General features: G+C 36.7%; 1 protein-coding gene across 12 annotated transcripts in view; it reads right to left on the bottom strand.

The window, feature by feature from the left end:
• The window catches only part of GRID2 (glutamate ionotropic receptor delta type subunit 2), a 1,506,491-nt gene that overhangs the window by 689,359 nt on the left and 797,588 nt on the right, over positions 1 to 19,544 (bottom strand). For all 12 annotated transcript variants that reach the window (NM_001440459.1, XM_024454024.2, NM_001510.4 and 9 more), the window contains one exon: positions 10,145 to 10,350. In NM_001440459.1, coding sequence (NP_001427388.1) covers positions 10,145 to 10,350 — 206 coding nt within the window. The remainder of the gene's footprint in view (positions 1 to 10,144; positions 10,351 to 19,544) is intronic.

Genomic DNA, 19,544 nt, shown 5'->3' with positions numbered 1-19,544 from the left:
TTATTATACTTTAAGTTCTGGGATACATGTGCAGAACGTGCAGGTTTGTTACAGAGGTATATATGTGCCATGGTGGTTTGCTGCACTTATCAACCCATCATCTAGGTTTTTAAATTTATTTTAATTTATTTTATTTATATTTTTTGAGACAGAGTCTCGCACTGTCGCCCAGGCTGGAGTGCAGTGGCGCAATCTCGGCTCACTACAAGCTCCACCTCCCGGGTTCACACCATTCTCTTGCCTCAGCCTCCTGAGTAGCTGGGACTACAGGTGCCCGCCACCATGCCCGGCTAATTTTTTGTGTTTTTAGTAGAGATGGGGTTTCACCATGTTAGCCAGGATGGTCTCGATCTACTGACCTCATGATCCACCCGCCTCAGCCTCCCAAAGTGCTGGGATTACAGGCCTGAGCCACCGCGCCCAGTCCCCATCATCTATGTTTTAAGCTCTGCATGCATTAGGTATTTGTCCTAATGCTCTCCCTCCCCTTGCTCCTCACTCCCTGACAGGCCCAAGTGTGTGATGCTCCCCTCCCTGTGCCCATGTGTGCTCATTATTCAACTCCCACTTATGAGTGAGAACATGGGGTATTTGGTTTTCTGTTCCTGTGTTAGTTTGCTGAGAATGATGGTTTCTGGTTTCATCCATCTCGCTGCAAAGGGCATGAATTCATTCTTTTTTATGGCTGCATAGTATTCCATGGTGTATATGTGCCACACTTTCTTTATCCAGTCTATCATTGATGGGCATGTGGGTTGGTTCTAAGTCTTTGCTATTGTGAATAGTGCTGCAAGAAACATCCGTGTGCATGTGTCATTATAGTAGGATGATTTATAATCCTTTGGGTATACACTCAATAATGGGATTGCTGGGTCAAATGGTATTTCTGGTTCTAGATCCTTGAGGAATCACCACACTGTCTTCCACAATGGTTGAACTAATTTACACTCCCACAAACAGTGTAAAAGTGTTCCTATTTCTCCACATCCTCTCCAGCATCTGTTGTTTCCTGCCTTTTAATGATCGCCATTCTAACTGGCATGAGATGGTATCACACTGTGGTTTCAATTTGCATTTCTCTTACGACCAGTGATGATGAGCTACAGAATGGGAGAACATTTTTGCGATCTGTCCATCTGACAAAGTTCTAATACCCAGAATCTACAAGGAACTTGACCAAATTTACAAGAAAAAAACAACCCCATCAAAAAGTGGGTAAAGGCTATGAACAGACACTTCTTAAAAGGGCACCCTTTTGATGAGTGGGAGTCATTCTGTATCTACTGAGATAAGCTACCTTCCCTTGTTTCCTAAATCTTTCCAAAGGCTTATTTTTGGGAAGCTGCATACATATTTGAAATATGTAACTTTGCCTTTTTGTTGTTTGACAGCCTCAAAGTTCTTTTTTTCAATGAACCTAGGGTATAGTACAATACAATGAAAACTATTTCATAAAGTATGTTTAAGGAATACAAGATAATAATAACCTTTTCTTACTGTGAAATAAAAGGATGTCATGGAACAGTAGGGTTCCTTTCTGAAAATTTGAAGAAAAAATGTAAATTGGAGACAATATCTATTGCTGTATAAATAGTAAAACTTCCTCCTTTCAAAGAATTGGCGTATCTTCTCAAACCCAAACACTAAAGACCATGGCCAAAATGTCTAATTTATATAGAATTTTTTTGTATTGTTTCTGGAAAGACTATAATGTACACAGCAACAAATGCAACATTATTCCTATATAAAAACATTTTTTTCAAAATATCATTCCAATCTATATTTAAATAAAACCAAGTGAGCACTGCTGTTTCACTATATTCATTTCAAGGACACTTACAGATATATTGTGTAACAATTTTCTGCCAATATCACAGCAGGTTTATATACTCAGCTGCACATAACTGCAGTATTTTTCTTAAAGCTTTGATACTCTTGAATGAGAGGTGGAGCACTAAGTGTAGACATTTAATGTATTAAATTTCTAAGACTTCAAAGGGAGCATAATTAACTCAATGCTACATAATTTCTCCAGGGACAGAAAAAAAAGAAAAAGATGCAAACAGAATTGATATGCTTATTTTTCCCCTTAGCAATTACATGACAATGCTAAGTGAGCAATTTCTTTGATAAAACTCATTCTTCTGACTTTAAAGTTAATATTTCTCTTGAATATTTCAATAACTTTGCATGCTAACTTATAAAGTATAGAAAACAGTAGGGTTGAAAGTTCTGCTATTCCCCTTTTACCAGAATTTCTCCCCTCAACTTCTCTCTGTTTAAGGCACTTGCTGAACTTGGTTGTGTCTCTGACCTCATCATAACCTTTAGTTTCTCTGTCTTTCCTAATTTCTCAATCCATCAGTTTCTTTCCAGCTTCATTTGCCTTTCTATCATATAATCCATGGTAAGCCGTTTTCAATAAATTCTTTTCAGATGCAAAAATTCTGCACCCCTTTGACCTGCTAACAACCTATTTGACCAGTTTCAAACTCTGGGTGTCCTCTACAATCTGCAGAGGTGCAGAACATAGCTGGAGGAAGTTAGAGAAGAATGTGAGTTAGATCTAGAGAGGCCTTTAATTTATTCAACTATATATTTGGAATTCAACAAAATATTACATATTATATTTTTCAAATCTGAAATGCCATGATTTAATATTGTTTCATAAAATCTATAAAAACTGGTCTTAAACGTCCCTTATCATTGTTGAGCTTTAATCTCTAAAAATCTGAAAGAATATTCTGGACCTTTCAACTCAAGAAAGTTAAAGGAGATGACTCCCAGAGTCTCATGAAAATATGAAGAATTGAATACGTATATGAGCCAACAACCATGAGAAAAGGAACAGAGGCCATCAGAAAAGTGTTTTGCCTAAATTACTGAAAAATAAAAATGAAGCAGTGACGCTTGATCAGAGGTAGCAATGATATCTGGTGAAGCAGGGTGGCAGAAGCCGTAGACTACAGACTGTCATAAGGGCAGCAATTAAGCATCAAGACCTCTACCTGCAGAGTCATAGAAGTCTTGATAGTTGAAAAGGCCAAATAAAAGGTAGGTGTGAGATGGAGAGCTCAAAATATGGGAACATAGAGGATTCTTGTCATTCACAGTAGCGAGGTTCTATAAAATCCTATGAATGCTGTGTTTATGAATACTGAATCATTGCTTCTAGGGGAATGGTTTGGTTCTTTGTAAGCCTCTGCCTTTTTTGTATTTATATTTAAAAGCACTTTATTTAATATGCATTGCTGATTCTTTAACATTGAACTCGTGGCCAACAGCACTATAACTCTTGCCTATACATAGCTTATCTAACACAAGTATTTTCTGTGTGATGCACATCACAGCTTTCTTGTGCTTAGGGACACTAGACCAGCACTTTAGCACTATGTTTGGGAGATATTTTAAACAGGGAAATCACTGATGAAAGCACAAAAAATTGAAAAAGGCACTAAATAAATAGATAGAGAAAAGAACACTTGCTTGTCATAGAGGAGCTAAAACAAGAATGCAGAGAGCAGCTTTATTTGACCTTAATTACTAACAACTCAAGTTTTTGAGCTATGCAAATATATGATCATGAAAGTGCACTGAGTATTGATTTTGGAATTACAAATAAAGCTTAATGAATAGGTGAATTTGCAAAAAACAAAATCAGTTAATAAAGCAGACTGATTGTACGTAAATGTATGTTGATTCTCACATGCTGTCACATGCAAAATGTTCCTGAAAGCTGATATTTATCCCTTGAAAAAAAAAGTAAGAAGCATAGGATTCTCTTCTAAATAAATAGGTGAATTTTCTAGGTGAATTGGGGCAACTAATGTCGCCATTATTATCCAAGAGCAAGGCAACATAAATACACATGCAAAAGCTAGCACTACCTCCAGTAAAATAACCATATCCATCTTCTATCTACTCAATCTAAATGATCAAATTACCATTATGTAATAAATTAATGCTATTGATGTTCTGAGGTAAATAATTTTTTAACTTAGAAATTTACAATTAGCCACATTATTCATCAAGGATGAAGTTAGAATGAATACATTTTCATAAGTGAATATAATAACAATGATTGTGGATGCTTGTCATTCACAGTAGTTAGGTTCTATAAAATTCCTATGAACACTGCATTTGTGAATATTGAATCACTGCTCCTAGGGGAAATACAGAGTTTGGTCCCTGCCAGCCTCTGGTTTTATGCATTTCTATTTAAAGGCACTTTATTTAATATTCATTGTTGATTCATTATCATTGAACTTGTGGCCAACAGCACTATAACTCTTGCCTCTACACAGCTTATCTAACACAGATGTTTTCTCTGTAAGAAAAAAAAAAAACCCTCTTCCTTCAGAAGTTACTTCAAGATATTTCCCAGCAAGGCCGGAAACTAAGAAATTGTTAAGACACAGGAACCAGGAATTTGTGGATCTGACCCACTAGAATTTATCTGATTTTAAGGATGCACCAGAAACAGAGCAGGAAAGGGGGTCTCTGGGAGGAAAGGGTGCAGTCAGGAAATGGGGATTTTGGAGATTTGTTATTGAAAACAGCAATTTAGAATTTTCATACCCAAAGATGAAGAAAAAAGTAAGAAAAGTAATAATTCAAACAAGAAACCTGAAGCTGAGTGATAAAAAACTAAATATAATCATATCTTAATACTTTGTTGTACAGTGAACAATATTTATAGTGATAAAACATAAGCAAATTACAGATTTTCATCTTATAAAGCCAACTTTTAGTCAAGCATGAATAATTTATTTCTAGTAACAGAATAGAAAATACGTGCTTCCAACACACTCAATATAAAAGTAAATCTGTGGGACATGGAAGCTGAGAGGTAGAAGAGTGGAAAAATAGTGAACGAACTTTTACAACTAGTATATTGTCTTTACAATTACTATACTGTCAACAGTAGTTGGTATGGAAATAGAAGTGTAACTGTGTTATATAAAGTTATTTAAAATTGTGCTATAACTAGTAATATATTGAGAGGATGTGCAGGTGTAGGTGAAGGACATGAAGTAAATCATCACTTATTATATAAGAAAAGGTAGGTAAGAGATGACAAACTAATAAATCAACCAGTAATATTTACTAGAGTAAGTAAAAATTAAAACAAAAAAGTTAAAGAGCTAAGAGTCATTTAATCTACTGATATGGTTGGCTTTGTCCCCACCCAAATCTCATCTTAAACTGTAGCTCCTGTAGTTCCCATGTGTTGTAGGAGGGACCTGGGGGAGGTAATTGAATCATGGGAGCAGTTTCCCTCATACTGTTCTCTTGGTAGTGAATAAGTCTTATAAGATCTGTTGGTTTTATAAGGGGTTTCCCCTTTGGATTGGCTCTCATTCTCTCTTGCCTGCCACCATGTAAGACATACCTTTCACCTTCCACCATGATTCTGAGGCCTCCCCAGTCCTGTGGAACTGTGAGTCCATTAAACCTCTTTTTCTTTATAAATTACCCAGTCTCAGGTATGGCCTTATCAGCAGCATGAGAATGGACTAATACATTTACCAAGGGAATATTATATAACCATTAGATATTATTAGGAACACATCGTATGTCTCAATAGAATGATCTAGAAGTTACTAAGTTTAAAATTCCAAGCTCAGAATTTAAACATAGTACATAACTATTTATGTAAGAAAAATAATAAAAATGTGTGTGTGTGTGTGTGTGTCTGTATATACTTGGAATGCCACATAAGAAACACTATTTGCCTCATGAAAAGGAACTCAGGTGTTTGAGGAACAGTGGCAGGATATTACCTTGTTGAACCTTTTAAATTTTGAACAATGCAAATACACAGGATATGCTAAAAGTAAATACAAATTAAATTTTAAAATAAAAAATAAATACTTCTGAAAAGAATAACTGGAGGTAGAAATAAATAGACTCTTGTTTTGTAATTTTAAAAGCCTCAGTAGAATTTGATTTTTTAATTCTGTTCATATATCATACACACACACACACACACACACACACACACAAGCACACACAGACACATTCTGAATTGTTTGCCCACCACTGTTTACCTGATTAATTCTTATTTATTTTTCAAGAGTCTGGTGACACAACTTATCTGTGAAATTTGTTCTGACTCTGGCTAAGCTCTCTGTAGCATGAGTCAGTTCTCCTACGGTATTCCAGAACATCATTGATCCATCATTATTATAGAATTTTCTTTCACATAGTAATATTTAATTATATGCTGCCTCTTCCACTAGACTGAGTGAAACTCTAGGTCACACAGAAATAATTTCTCTTTGTGTCTTCAGAATTTCAGTGTACTCTTTCAAATTTAGTTCTGCCTGTCTTTTGAATGAACTGCTCCCAGCACTAATAGGGTCAGCCTATTCCCTACTCAAAAGAAACAATCCTAGAACCCATCGAGGAGGTGGGATGTGTCTGAGAACAACTAATTGAGAAACAGGAACCATCTTGCAGGTCAGAGAACAGTACAATAGGGTGAGCTTAGGCTAGGATAGAGGTGGTGGTAGTTCACATTCTGTCTGCCATTCCTACATCATTGCTTAAGATGCCTGTGGAATAACTGGTCCACAGTTTGGAGACATAAAATCAGTGATTATAAAAGATAAGTTACTTAAAAAAATGGTGGATGAGTGGGGAAAGACAGAAAAGTCTTTAAGGAAAGATAATAGATTTTATGTGTTTGGGGACCAAGATGGAAGGGATACATTATTATAAGTATAAAGTTCAGGGTCAAGGTTGGGGGACAAGGTGAGAAGTTAAGATCATATCAGTTGAAATTGATTATCAGAAAGACAAGGATTATCAATGAAAATTCCTTTAATGAAGTCTGAACTAATTCTGTCTACCTTTGAAGCAACAATTGTAGGTTATTGGTAATGAGTAGTAGTCCCCTGGCAGAGCTTCATGAATTCTAACACTCTGGGGTCTTAGCTCATCAATATTCTTTTTCCATTCTACAATCTCCTCTTCATCACTGGTTGCTTTCCCAACACCTGTGTGAAAAGGCTCAGCTTGTTTTATCCTAAAAATGAAACAGATATCCCTGGTTCTGATATCAGTCTCATGGGATTTTTAAAAATTTTAAACCATAATTTACCCTTACTTTCGTCACCAAACGTCTCAACAGGGTGGTCAACACACCCACCTCTACCCATTCCTTCCCTAGCCCTTTGCCTTCTTGCTGCATGCCCCGCCTCCGTGGTTTTATTTATGGTCTTCCTGCTGCTTAGAATGTTCTTCCCACCCTTTTCTGCCTGATCCAATCCACATGTCCTTTAACGCTCAACTCAAGAAGCACCTCCTTCAAGATACCATCTATAACAAGCTCCTTCCTCAACATTTCATGACTGTATACTTTACCTCTACAACCAGACATGGCTGGCTCTGGAGATCAGCGTAGATGTATGTGTTCTGCCATTACATGCATCTTGTAATGCTGATACTCTTTCATTTTCCTTCTCCAACACCAGGCTATAAACTTGAGAAAAGGAATGGGATCTTTGTTGTCATTGTATCGCTAGTGCCTAGCATAGTTTCTACGATGAACTGGAAAACCAGTGAACTAGTAAATCAATGCATATTAAACTGATGAAAAACAAATAAACTACATCTCGAGCACTGATCTTTTTCCTGGTCTCCAGTCATGCATTTATAACCAACCTGTCTGGGAACCAAGGTTAAGTGCACAAACTCTAGAGACAAACTTATTGGAATTAATCCCAGATCTGCCTCTTCCTAGTTGTGTCATCTTGACAACTTAAACCCTGTACACCTCAGTTTTCTTATCTACAAAACAAGGATGATGTTAGTACCAACTCAAAGGCTTTTTATGAAGATTATATGAGTTCATTTTTTAAAAAGGTGTTAGAAAAGAAAGCAGTAAGTAGTAAGAAGATAGTAAGTACTATAAAGGTGTTAAAACATAGTTAAGACCACCTGAAGAATCCACTGCTAGCTCAAATTTTACAGGATCCAAATTGAACTCTCAAACATACTCCTCTGCCTTATTTGCTCATAACAGCTAATGGTAACTGTTATGGGTAAAGTTGTGCCATCACTACCTCCTTCTCAAATTTATATGTTGAATTCCTAATATCCGGTACCTTAGAATATGACCTTATTGGAGATAAGGTCTTTACAGAGGTAATCAAATTAAAATTAGGTCATTAGGGTGAACCCTCATCCAAACGACTGATGTCCTTATAGAAAAAGGAAATTTGGATACACAAACAAACACGAAGAGAAGAAAATGTGAATAGACATTGGAAAAAGAATTCATCTACAAGCCAAGGAGGGAGGCTTAGAACAGTTCCTTCCCTCACACCCCTCAGAAGGAATCAACCTTGCCAACATCTTGATTTTAGATTTCTAGCCTCCAGAACTGTGAGATGCAAACTTTCTGTTGTTTAAGCCAATGGCAGCTCTAGCAAAGGAATACACTAGCATTATCTCTGCTATAATGAACTACCCAAGATGGGTCATTTATAAATGAAAACAGTTTAATTTTCTCACAGTTCCACATGGCTGAGGAGGCTTCAGGAAACTTACAGTCATGGTGGAAGGAGAAGCAAGCACCTTCTTCACAAGGAGGCAGGAGAGAGTCAGAGCGCAGCAGAAACTGCCACATTTAAACAATCAGATCTCATGAGAACTCCCTCACTATCATGAGAACAGCATGGGGGAAACCGCCCCCATGATCCACTCACCTCCCACCAGGTCCCTCCCTCAACACGTGGGAATTACCATTCAAGATGAGATTTGGGTGGAGGCACAGAGCGAAACCATATCATTACCACTTCTGTTTTATAAATTCCTAACCCATGACACGAAGTCCAGTTCAAATATACCTGCTCAGTGAGGTTTTCTCTGATCTCCTCCAACAAAAATGACCATAGATGCTTCAACCGCCTCTATTGCAATTTTAACATCCTAATTTATATTACATCCTCTGTGTACTCACTCCCATCTTCCAGATTTGTGTTTCTTGAAGGAAAGACCCAACTTCTTTAAAATTGGAAATATTTTATATTATGAAAAAATGTAGTAGTTCAATAAGATTCTCTAAGTCATTTGCTGAACTCAAAAAGTAAAATGTGTATAATTTGTCTTTAAACTGCATAATGAAGTTTCCTATTAAAATGAAAAATTTTATATTACTGACAGTTTTCCACAAGTTTTACCCTTCCTAGTGATTTATATTCTGCCTTATGTTTTTTGATACCAACTATATTGTGAGTGTCAAAGAACTTCTAACATGTTCCTAATTTGGAATCTTTATAGCAGTACTTCAGGAGCTAACAGAAGCATAATAGTGAAATGAGGCAAAAAAAAAAAAAAAGTATTAAACAAATAAATTCCCGTCCTCAAATTTAAAATATTTTTAAAAATTCCATGTGAAAGTTTGTAAAGTCATGAACAGTTCTATCACTATGTAACATTAAAAACTTGAAGTGGGGCAAAAAGACATGACAATAAACTTTTACAAGGCAATAGCAGGCATTTTAGAACATAGAGATGTTATACCTATCACTAGAAAGTCTTAATTGTATTTTTACTAAGTTTCAGAGCTTCTAACTAAATGAACAGATACAATTAAAAATTTGAGGATGCAGCATCATAAAATGTACACTAGTCATCACTTTACAGAGTTTCAGACACTTAATTATTTGTGTTGGTACAAAGTTCACAGAGAAGATATAAATCTGTATATGTTTTGTAACAGTAATCATGTTTAGGCAATAATGTCCTGATTCAAGTAATTATTTTTTCAGAAGTAAAATTTTAACTTACAAAAATTACTAAGGATTAGTTAGAGAGCTGTGCACTTGTGAATTTATTCTTGATCTTGCCAGATTCATTCAGGTCAACAGCACTTTTAAACTTCTATAAGACTTCTTAAAATTGTTCTGTCTATGTGCCTAAATATATATAAACACAAATACTCTCAGCAACTAACTGGACAGTAAGGGGTAAATGAGATAAGTGAGGCATTCACTATGCTACCTCCATTAGTGTTAACAAGAATTGTGTAGTTAATTCCCTCGCACTGCTCTTAATTTTCATCTCCTCTGTAGGGTCTATTCCAAAGCTTTTAATTGTTTTGTACAACTCTCACCCCAAGACAATTTTCACTTACCTCAGTAATGAAGGATTTGGCTGTAGCAGGATTCATAACAAGGATCGCTCGCCTAAGAGTGTCTCGATAGCGATTCAGTTCTTCTATTCTCATGGTGTCAAAGAGAGTGGTAATCATTTTATTGATGTTGTTTTCTACCTTCTGAAGTGCAACATCCATTCCCTGCTGAGAGACTTTGTCCAAGAACTCCTGTATTCCACGGATATCTGGAAACATCAAAAGCCCATCAAAATACCTGTGAATTATTGTACAGAAGGAAGGCATAAGCTATTTCACCTATATCAGAATAGATTATTGTTCCACACTGTAGGCTGTCTAAAATTACCAACTGAGTAGCTGACGGAACTCTCAAGTATGTTTAAGGTTTGGTACATTTTGAAATGTTCACATGAAAAATGTAGGAATTGTTATTTTTTAAATGGATTTCTTTCTATCTACATGGAACCTAAATGATGTCAATCCTAGAAATGTTGGGTGAGGGTGCACGGAGATGGTTGGAGAGATGCCCCATTTCTCTAGAGCAAAACAAGAAGAAGGGAAAGACATTCCCTATTTTCCTTAGCATTTTAAAGAGTAATATTAACCTCATGTAAGCATGAATATCATTGATGACTGATGAATCTGAATCAAGATTATGAATGTTTCTTAAAATAGGCAACAGTATCACTAAACTTGACTTTTATCAGTTAAACAGAAAGTTTCAAAAGGTTATCTTCAAAGGGCCTCAGGTAACTTAGACCACAAATAAAAGCTGCATTTTAATCTATTTAATTAGTATTACCTCCTTAGCTAAATTTGGAAAAGTTGGTAGGAGATACCAAGTTTGCCTTAGTAAGGAGAAAATACTTAATGTGCAAAACATATTTTTTCAAAACATATTTCAGCATTTTAGAAAATATTAAGTAACATTTTTGATTGCATGATGATCAGCAAAATATTTACATACTTATTCCAAAATAAGCAAAGTTCTAGAAATTTATCAAATTAAAATGTCCAGTGTCCACGTCACACTTAAATAAGAAAAGTAAAATTCAATCTAAAGAGTTTATCATTTGTACTTTGATGTGTATTTAAGTAACAATAAATGTCTGAAATATCACAAATATTTCTTCTTAGTATCAGATTGCTTGTTTATAGAAGAAGATATCTGAAATAAGTATCTGGCACAATACAAGCTTAATATAGATTATGCTATAATCTTAATATAGTAGATTTTCTTTTACTATATCATGAACTATATTTTTCATTATATATCCAAAGAATAAAATATTTAAAGGGCAAATACTAGAGAAACAAGTAAATGGGATTGTAGGGAACTTATGAATAGACTAGATCTCAAAATCCTTAATAGTGTGTGCTTCCCTGCAAGTAAAATTTGCCTCTCAGTGGTAATAGTTAATTTATGTATTTTTCAACATACAAACCAGAAAAAGCAGTAAGTAAAACCACAGAACAGGAAAACAAATAGCCAAAAATTTAGAAACTACATTTACTCTTATAAACATTTACATTTGCAAGGTTACAAATTGACTAAAACAACAATTTTGCTTTCTTCTTCTGAATTCTTTCATTTCAAAATAGTTGTAAATATTATATGTTTACTTATCTGATGACTTTAAAAATCTTTACAACATATATACTGTATAAATTCTATCTTACATTTCTTATCATTAATTATGTGGTAAACTCAGGATGTTACCATCAAAGCAGGTTAAAAGAATAAAATCCTCAGCTAGGGCAGAGGATGAGATAAAAGAGGTGGAATAATAAAGGTGTTATGTATTCATTCAATATCCAAGTCAGAATGTACATAAAGGTGTAAGACTCTGAACCATGAATTAAGCAAAGGGTTAAATTTGATGGACTTTGGTTGACACTGGTAGAGGTACAATAACAAGACTATGTACATACTAAGCAGATGTTCTTAAACTTTGATGTGAATCAGAATCATCTGAGAAACTTATCAAAAATACACAAGCTTGGGCCTCACCCCAGAACCAATATACCTTTAGAATACATGTCAGAGGCCCAGTGTGGTGGCTCACACCTGTAATCCCAGGACTTTGGGAGACCGAGGGGGGCAGATCATGAGGTCAGGAGCTTGAGACCAGCCTGGCCAATATGGTGAAACCCCATCTCTACTAAAAATACGAAAATTAGTCAGGCGTGGTGGCACACGCCTGTAGTCCCAGCCACTTGGGAGGCTGAGGCAGAAGAATCGCTTGAACCCGGGAGGTGGAGGTTGCAGTGAACCGAGATCATGCCACTGCACTCCAGCCTGGGTGACAGAGTGAGACTCCATCTCAAAAAAAAAAAAAGAAAAAAAAAATACATGTCAGAGCAGACAGAGCAGATTATTGATTTCAAATTGTAAGTTGTTCTTTATTTGAGTTACTTAAATTGTACATCTGAATACAAGGCAAACAAAACAAAAGTAACACTGAAATAGATCCAAGATGCTCAGAAAACAGAGCATGACTAGAGAATAAAGTTTCAGATTACTTATTCTCTGTGAAATCTTCTGATTACAAAAATAAAATACCAGTACTAGTTTACATTTTCACTTTGAGAAAAAACTTGTTCTCCAAAAACATTTGTTGAATATTAGACACAATACTAGGAGCTAGGAGCACATCAATGAATACCCATTCAAACATTAAAACAGACAATAAACAAGTAAACAAACTAAAACCACAAAGCACACTAAGTGTTTGGAAGAAAACAATGAATGCATTGGTAGATGATAATAGGGTGAGGAGGAGGATATATTTTACTTAGAGGAAGGTTTCTCTGCAAAACTAGTATTTAAACTCTGAGGTAAAGTATAAGAAGACATTATCCAAGCAAATAGATAAGGAGAAAAGGCAACAGCTCAGAAAATGTCCAGGACATTAAAGAGCCTGTGGATCAAAAATCTATAGGAGACCACTGTGGTTGCAGCCTAGCTAGTGAGACATGAAGCTGGATGGAGAGGAAGAGTCAGGTTATGTAGATCTCTGTGAGACACAGGAAGAGGTTTTAATTTTATTCAAAATACAGCTTTAATCTATTGAAAGTTTCAAGTAGAGGATCTGCCTTAAGTGGATGACTGGATATGTGAGCAGAATGAAAAGCAGTTTAAGTCTGGAAGTGACGTGTTTGATTGCATGTTTTAAATTGGGGCTGGGCGTGCTGGCTCATGTCTGAAACCCCAGCACTTTGGGAGGCTGAGGTGGGTGAATTACTTGAGGCCAGGAGTTCGAGACCAGCCTGGCCAACATGGTAAACCTCGTCTCTACTAAAAATACATACCCAGGCTGAGGCAAGAAAATCGCTTGAACCTGGGAAGTGGAGGTTGCAGTGAGCTGAGATTGTGTCACTGCACTCCAACATGGGTGACAGAGTGAGATGCCCCCTCAAAAAAAATTTTTTTAATAAATAAATTGATCTAGTAAATTAATTATCCTTAATTTGAAACTATATAACGTTTTTTAGCTTTAATTTTTGATCAGAGTGATATGCATACTGAAAAGTGATGTGACAAAAGACCACTATAACCCCTCTGTTTCCTAACACTGGAATCCTGGTTGTCACTTCTTAGATATGTGACTGTAACATTTTTTGAAAATTTCTCCTCAACTGTAAATGAAGAATTTATTTGTTTATATTTATTTTTGAGACAGGGTCCCACTCTATTACCCAGGTTGGAGTGTAGTGGCATGACATCAGCTCATTGCAACCTCCACCTCCCAGGCTTAAGCGATCCTCCCACCTCAGCCTCCTGAGCAGCTGAGACTGCAGGTGCACACCTCCATGCCAGGCTAACTTTTGTATTTTCGGTAGAGACAGGGTTTTGCCATGTTGGCCAGGCTGATTTGAACTGCTGAGCTCAGGCGATCCACCTGCCTCGGCCTCCCAAAGTGCTTGGATTACAGGCATAAGCCACCACTCCCAGAAAAAAATATTTATCTTATAGAAGTCTTCAAAGATTGATTTTGCAAAAGTGTCTATGTGTGTTTGCTGTGTATATACAAAATCTAGTGTAGGGTCTAACATATTGTAATTCCTTTATTGTTAGTAAAGAACATGACTATTTGTTAAGAGACCACCACTCTTCCCACCAACAGGCCAGATTGCCTAAATTTTACTGATGGCTAGCTACCCAAAATGGCAAGCATAAATTACAAGGCAGACTCATGGAATGCAGGAGTTAAGCATAAATAGTTTTGCTTATTTGAGGAAATGACACCAAATACCCATGATATGTGGCAACTGGTAAGTTCAATGAGAGAAGATTCAGAGCCATGCTCTTTATGAGCTGCTGTGTGTAAGAGTCATTAAAAAAGAGAGTACTCTGGGTGCAGTGGCTCATGCCTGTAATCCCAGCACTTTGGGAGGCCAAGGCAGGTGGATTGCCTGAGGTCAGGAGTTTCAGACCAGCCTGGCTAAAAATACAAAAAATTAGCTGGGTGTGGTGGTGCATGCTCGTCGTCCCAGCTACTTAGGAGGCTGAAACAGGAGAATCGCTTGAACCCAGGAGGCGGAGGTTGCAGTGAGCCGAGATGGCACCACTGCATTCCAGCCTGGGCAACAGAGGGGGACTCCATGTCAAAAAAATAAAAAATAAAAGAGAGTAAGCCTTTGGTTTTGTTCAATGAACACAAACATCATCACACATCACAATCATTCAGCCACATTATCTGTATGCTGATTAGCTGGCAGCCAATGAGATGAGTTATCTGTGTTTCCAAAATAAAGAATATATGGTTCCTGACCTCAAGGTGCTTCCAGGTGAGTGGGTGTGACTAGGTGCTATTTATGGATAACAGAAAGCTAAAAGAAGTTTCTGTAGTTTCCAGTAATTTCTTCTACTGACCAGATAATTACATAACAACAGGTGGTGGAAGGCTCATTAATTGAGTTATTAAACATAAGACTGGGGGAGGAGGAAGATGTTTTTTCCATGACACTATAAAGGAACTTGTGGTAGGCAGAATATTGGTCTCCCCAAAATGCTCACATGTTAATCCCTGTAATCTGTGAATATACTAGATTACACAACAAAGACAAATTAAGGCTGCAGATAGAATTAAAGCTGTTAATTGTCTGATCTTAAAATAGGGAGATTATCCCATATTATTTGGGTGGCTCTAGTGTAATCACAGTCTTTAAAATTGGAAGAGGGAGACAGAACAGGAGCATCAAAGGGAGGTCTAACTCCTGAAGAATGTGTTGAGACTCAGCATCTTCAGAGAGATGAAAGACTGCTGGCTTTGAAGATGGGGGAAAGAGATCTTGAGTGAAGAAAGGTGGGTTGTTTCTAGAAGGTGGAAAAGGCAAGGAAATTGACTCTTCCCTAGAGCCACCAGAGAACACAGCATTGCTGACACTGATTATAGCCCACTGAGATTCCATTTCAGACTTGTGATCTAAAAAATACTGGCTAGCCATATGTAGAAAGCTGAAACTGGATCCCTTCCTTACACCTTATACAAAAATTAATTCAAGATGGATTAAAGACTTAAACGTTAGACCTAAAACCATAAAAACCCTAGAAGAAAACCTAGGCATTACCGTTCAGGACATAGGCATGGGCAAGGACTTCATGTCTAAAACACCAAAAGCAATGGCAACAAAAGCCAAAATTGACAAATGGGGTCTAAGTAAACTAAAGAGCTTCTGCACAACAAAAGAAACTACCATCAGAGTGAACAGGCAACCTACAAAATGGGAGAAAATTTTCGCAACCTACTCATCTGACAAAGGGCTAATATGCAGAATCTACAATGAACTCAAACAAATTTACAAGAAAAAAACAAACAACGCCATCAAAAATGGGCAAAGGACATGAACAGACACTTCTCAAAAGAAGACATTTATGCAGCCAAAAGACACATGAAAAAATGCTCATCATCACTGGCCATCAGAGAAATGCAAATCAAAACCACAATGAGATACCATCTCACACCAGTTAGAATGGCAATCATTAAAAAGTCAGGAAACAACAGGTGCTGGAGAGGATGTGGAGAAACAGGAACACTTTTACACTGTTGGTGGGACTGTAAACTAGTTCAACCATTGTGGAAGTCAGTGTGGCGATTCCTCAGGGATCTAGAACTAGAAATACCATTTGACCCAGCCATCCCATTACTGGGTATATACCCAAAGGACTGTAAATCATGTAGCTATAAAGACACATGCACACGTATGTTTATCACGGCACTATTCACAATAGCAAAGACTTGGAACCAACCCAAATGTCCAACAATGATAGACTGGATTAAGAAAATGTGACACATATACACCACGGAATACTATGCAGCCATAAAAAATGAAGAGTTCATGTCCTCTGTAGGGACATGGATGAAATTGGAAATCATCATTCTCAGTAAACTATTGCAAGGACAAAAAACCAAACACCGCATGTTCTCACTCATAGGTGGGAATTGAACAATGAGAACACATGGACACAGGAAGGGAAATATCACACTCTGGGGACTGTTGTGGGGTGGGGGGAGTGGGGAGGGATAGCATTAGGAGATATACCTAATGCTAAATGACGAGTTAATGGGTGCAGCACACCAGCATGGCACGTGTATACATATGTAACTAACCTGCACATTGTGCACATGTACCCTAAAACTTAAAGTATAATCATAATAAAATAAAAAATACTATTAATAACTTGTGTTGTTTAAGCCTCTAAATTTGTGGTAATTTGATACACCAGCAATAGAAACTAACATAGAACTATATTTTCATCCATAAGTCTGTATTTTTCCAAATTGTAATCCACTGAGTTTTATTTTGGAGTCATCTGGAAAACTTGTCCAAATACCACTTGTTCTCACTAATAAGCGGAAGCTAAACATTACACTACACTTGGAGATAAACATGGGAACAATAGACACCAAAGACTACTAGCCGGGGAGAGAAAGTTGGGGGCTGAAAAATGAATTGGGTACTATGCTTACTTCCTGGGTGCAATATACCCATGTAACATACCTACACACACTCCCCTTGTACCTAAAGTAAAAGCTGAAACTTAAAAAAAAAAAAAAATGAAGATTTTTGCTCAATCCCATTTCTATGGGATCAGAAACGCTCAGGAAAAAAACAAACAAAAAAAAAAAACAAGGGATTTTCTCTCACTTGATGCTTCTTAAGAGACTATTTGGGAACCAGTGCTCCAATTTCTTAACCTTCTTTGTGTTACAGACTCTTTTGAGAAAATCAAAGATTATGAATTCTCTCTCCTCTCAGTAAATGCACATACTGAAAACATTCTGCACACTGCCAAGATTATAATCTCTTAGTCAACTCTGCTTGCCTCCCTTAAAAGTAGTTATTGGAGAACCTGGATAAGCATATCGTCCCTGATGTTAGTGATTTTTTTTCTTATCCAGACTGTATAAGAGGGTAAGGTATAAACATTTCCATGCTAAAAAGTAATGTGAGGTTTTGTTTAAAAATAGAGGAAAATTTTAGATAAAAAGATAGCAAACACATAAATACTTTCCCTTGAAAACCTTTCATTGTTTTAGTTACTATTTAATTGTCCTTCAGGCCTAAGAAAAGCAGATTAACTGTAGAAGGTTAGGTTCCCAGGAAGCCGACTCTGGGGTAGAGATTGGAGACTAGAGAGGCTATCAGGGACTGCTCTCGGGAATAACACTGTGCCCCAAGGGAAGGGAACAAGAAAGAGCCAGCAGAGGGAGGCTACGATGCAGTCTCAGCGAAGACCTGCAGGGAGCTCTGGAAGTGGGATGGTCTTCAGAGTTATCCCAAGTTAGCGCTGGTGGAAGGAGGAATTTTACACCCCTGTGTGTCCTTTGGTGAGGTGGTTCCCCTAAGCGGAGGGTAATTCATAAGGAAGGTAGTCAGCGGCAAGCCCTCTCAGCATTTGGGAGAAGACAGTCTTCAGTTTTGAAGGGGGATTTTGGTGGCACAGGACAGAGTTCATCCTGAATGTTTCCTTACATTTATCAAGTCAAAAGTTACTGTTTTGGTTTTCAGGGTGCTTTGATGATATGTAAAGCCTTTATAAATCATTTGCAGTCAACATTTCCATCTTTCATTTAGAAAACAACTTTATCTAGGGGAAAACACACTGCATTTGGTGTAAGAAAACTAGGTTTGGATTCTTACTTAGCCACCAGTATAACCCTGTTAACTTAGAATCATAGTTCTAAGTTAACAGGGTTATACTGGTGGCTAAGTAGTTGATGTCTTTTATTTTTAATCTTCCCAATATTTCTTTTCCTTTATTCAAACAACAAGATGCCACTTTTCATTTAAGAAATAAATCTGGATGCCTCCCTTGTTTTCTACATGTGCCCAACTCTCTAGGTTGCATTGCTGGATGGTCATGTGTCCTGGGCTGGTTAGTTCGAACTCTCCATGTCCTCTGGCCTAAGTAATTTTTTAAGGGATAGTACTGACTCTACTTTGAAAACATTAAATCAATGTTTTCAGTATGCAGTGGAGCCCATAAATAACCCTCTGATTCATCCCTAAAGTTGATTTTTTCTTTGTTTTTGTGAATATGGGTAACAAATGTGTACATATCTACCTAGCATACTGGATTTAGTCATTTCCATGCTAAGATATTTTGTCAATACTTATTATGCATATCTAGGTCTCTAATTTTCAGAAACAGTTTAACAAATTACAGTGAAGACTGAAATGTGAAATATGGATAATCAGAAGAAGTGGTCTTTCTTGTGTATCACAAGTTGTCCCAATGCAGTAGTTTTGCGATTGCAGGAGCCAACATGTCTAGTGTGAAAGTAACTAAAGTGAAACAGAGGCAAGGCAGCTGTTCCCTAGACTTTCAAACTACATGAGTCAATTTTAAAAAAGCTATTTTGAAGTAAACTTCTGCTATTTGTAAGAGAAAGGGTCTTGATTAATACATTTTTTTTTAAAGCAAACATCTGATACTTTGATAAGGAAGATGAAGGCTCAGTTCCTGTCTTTGAGGTGCTTCCAGTTTAGTGGAAGAAATTAACATTTAAACAGGAAATGATATTTTAATGTGATAATGCTAATAACAACATTTATCTTGATTTTATTCTGCCATTGTTTAATAGGAAAATGGAATAAAATATTGATAGGAACTAAAAGTTGATGTCTATAACATTCTAGCAACCATCAATTTCTCAGATATCTGTATTGTGTTACTTATTTAGGCCAGTTTCCCACAACAATCCTCCAAGAGGTAGTGGCTGATTGAAGCTTAATGATTCATTTTATTAAATCACGTAAAATAATGACTTTACTATCATCTGTAAAGTAAGATTAATTTTAATCTCTCTACTAAAATGGTTTATATTAAAGTAGATTAGGGTAGGAAAAAATCCTAGGAAATATTAGAATTTAATGTATATTTCTAAACTGACCCCAAAAAAGGCTTTTAATC

The sequence above is a fragment of the Homo sapiens genome, chromosome 4 (genome assembly GCF_000001405.40).
Source record: "Homo sapiens chromosome 4, GRCh38.p14 Primary Assembly".
Lineage (NCBI taxonomy): Eukaryota > Metazoa > Chordata > Mammalia > Primates > Hominidae > Homo > Homo sapiens.
This window is presented reverse-complemented; position numbering and strand designations above follow the sequence as displayed.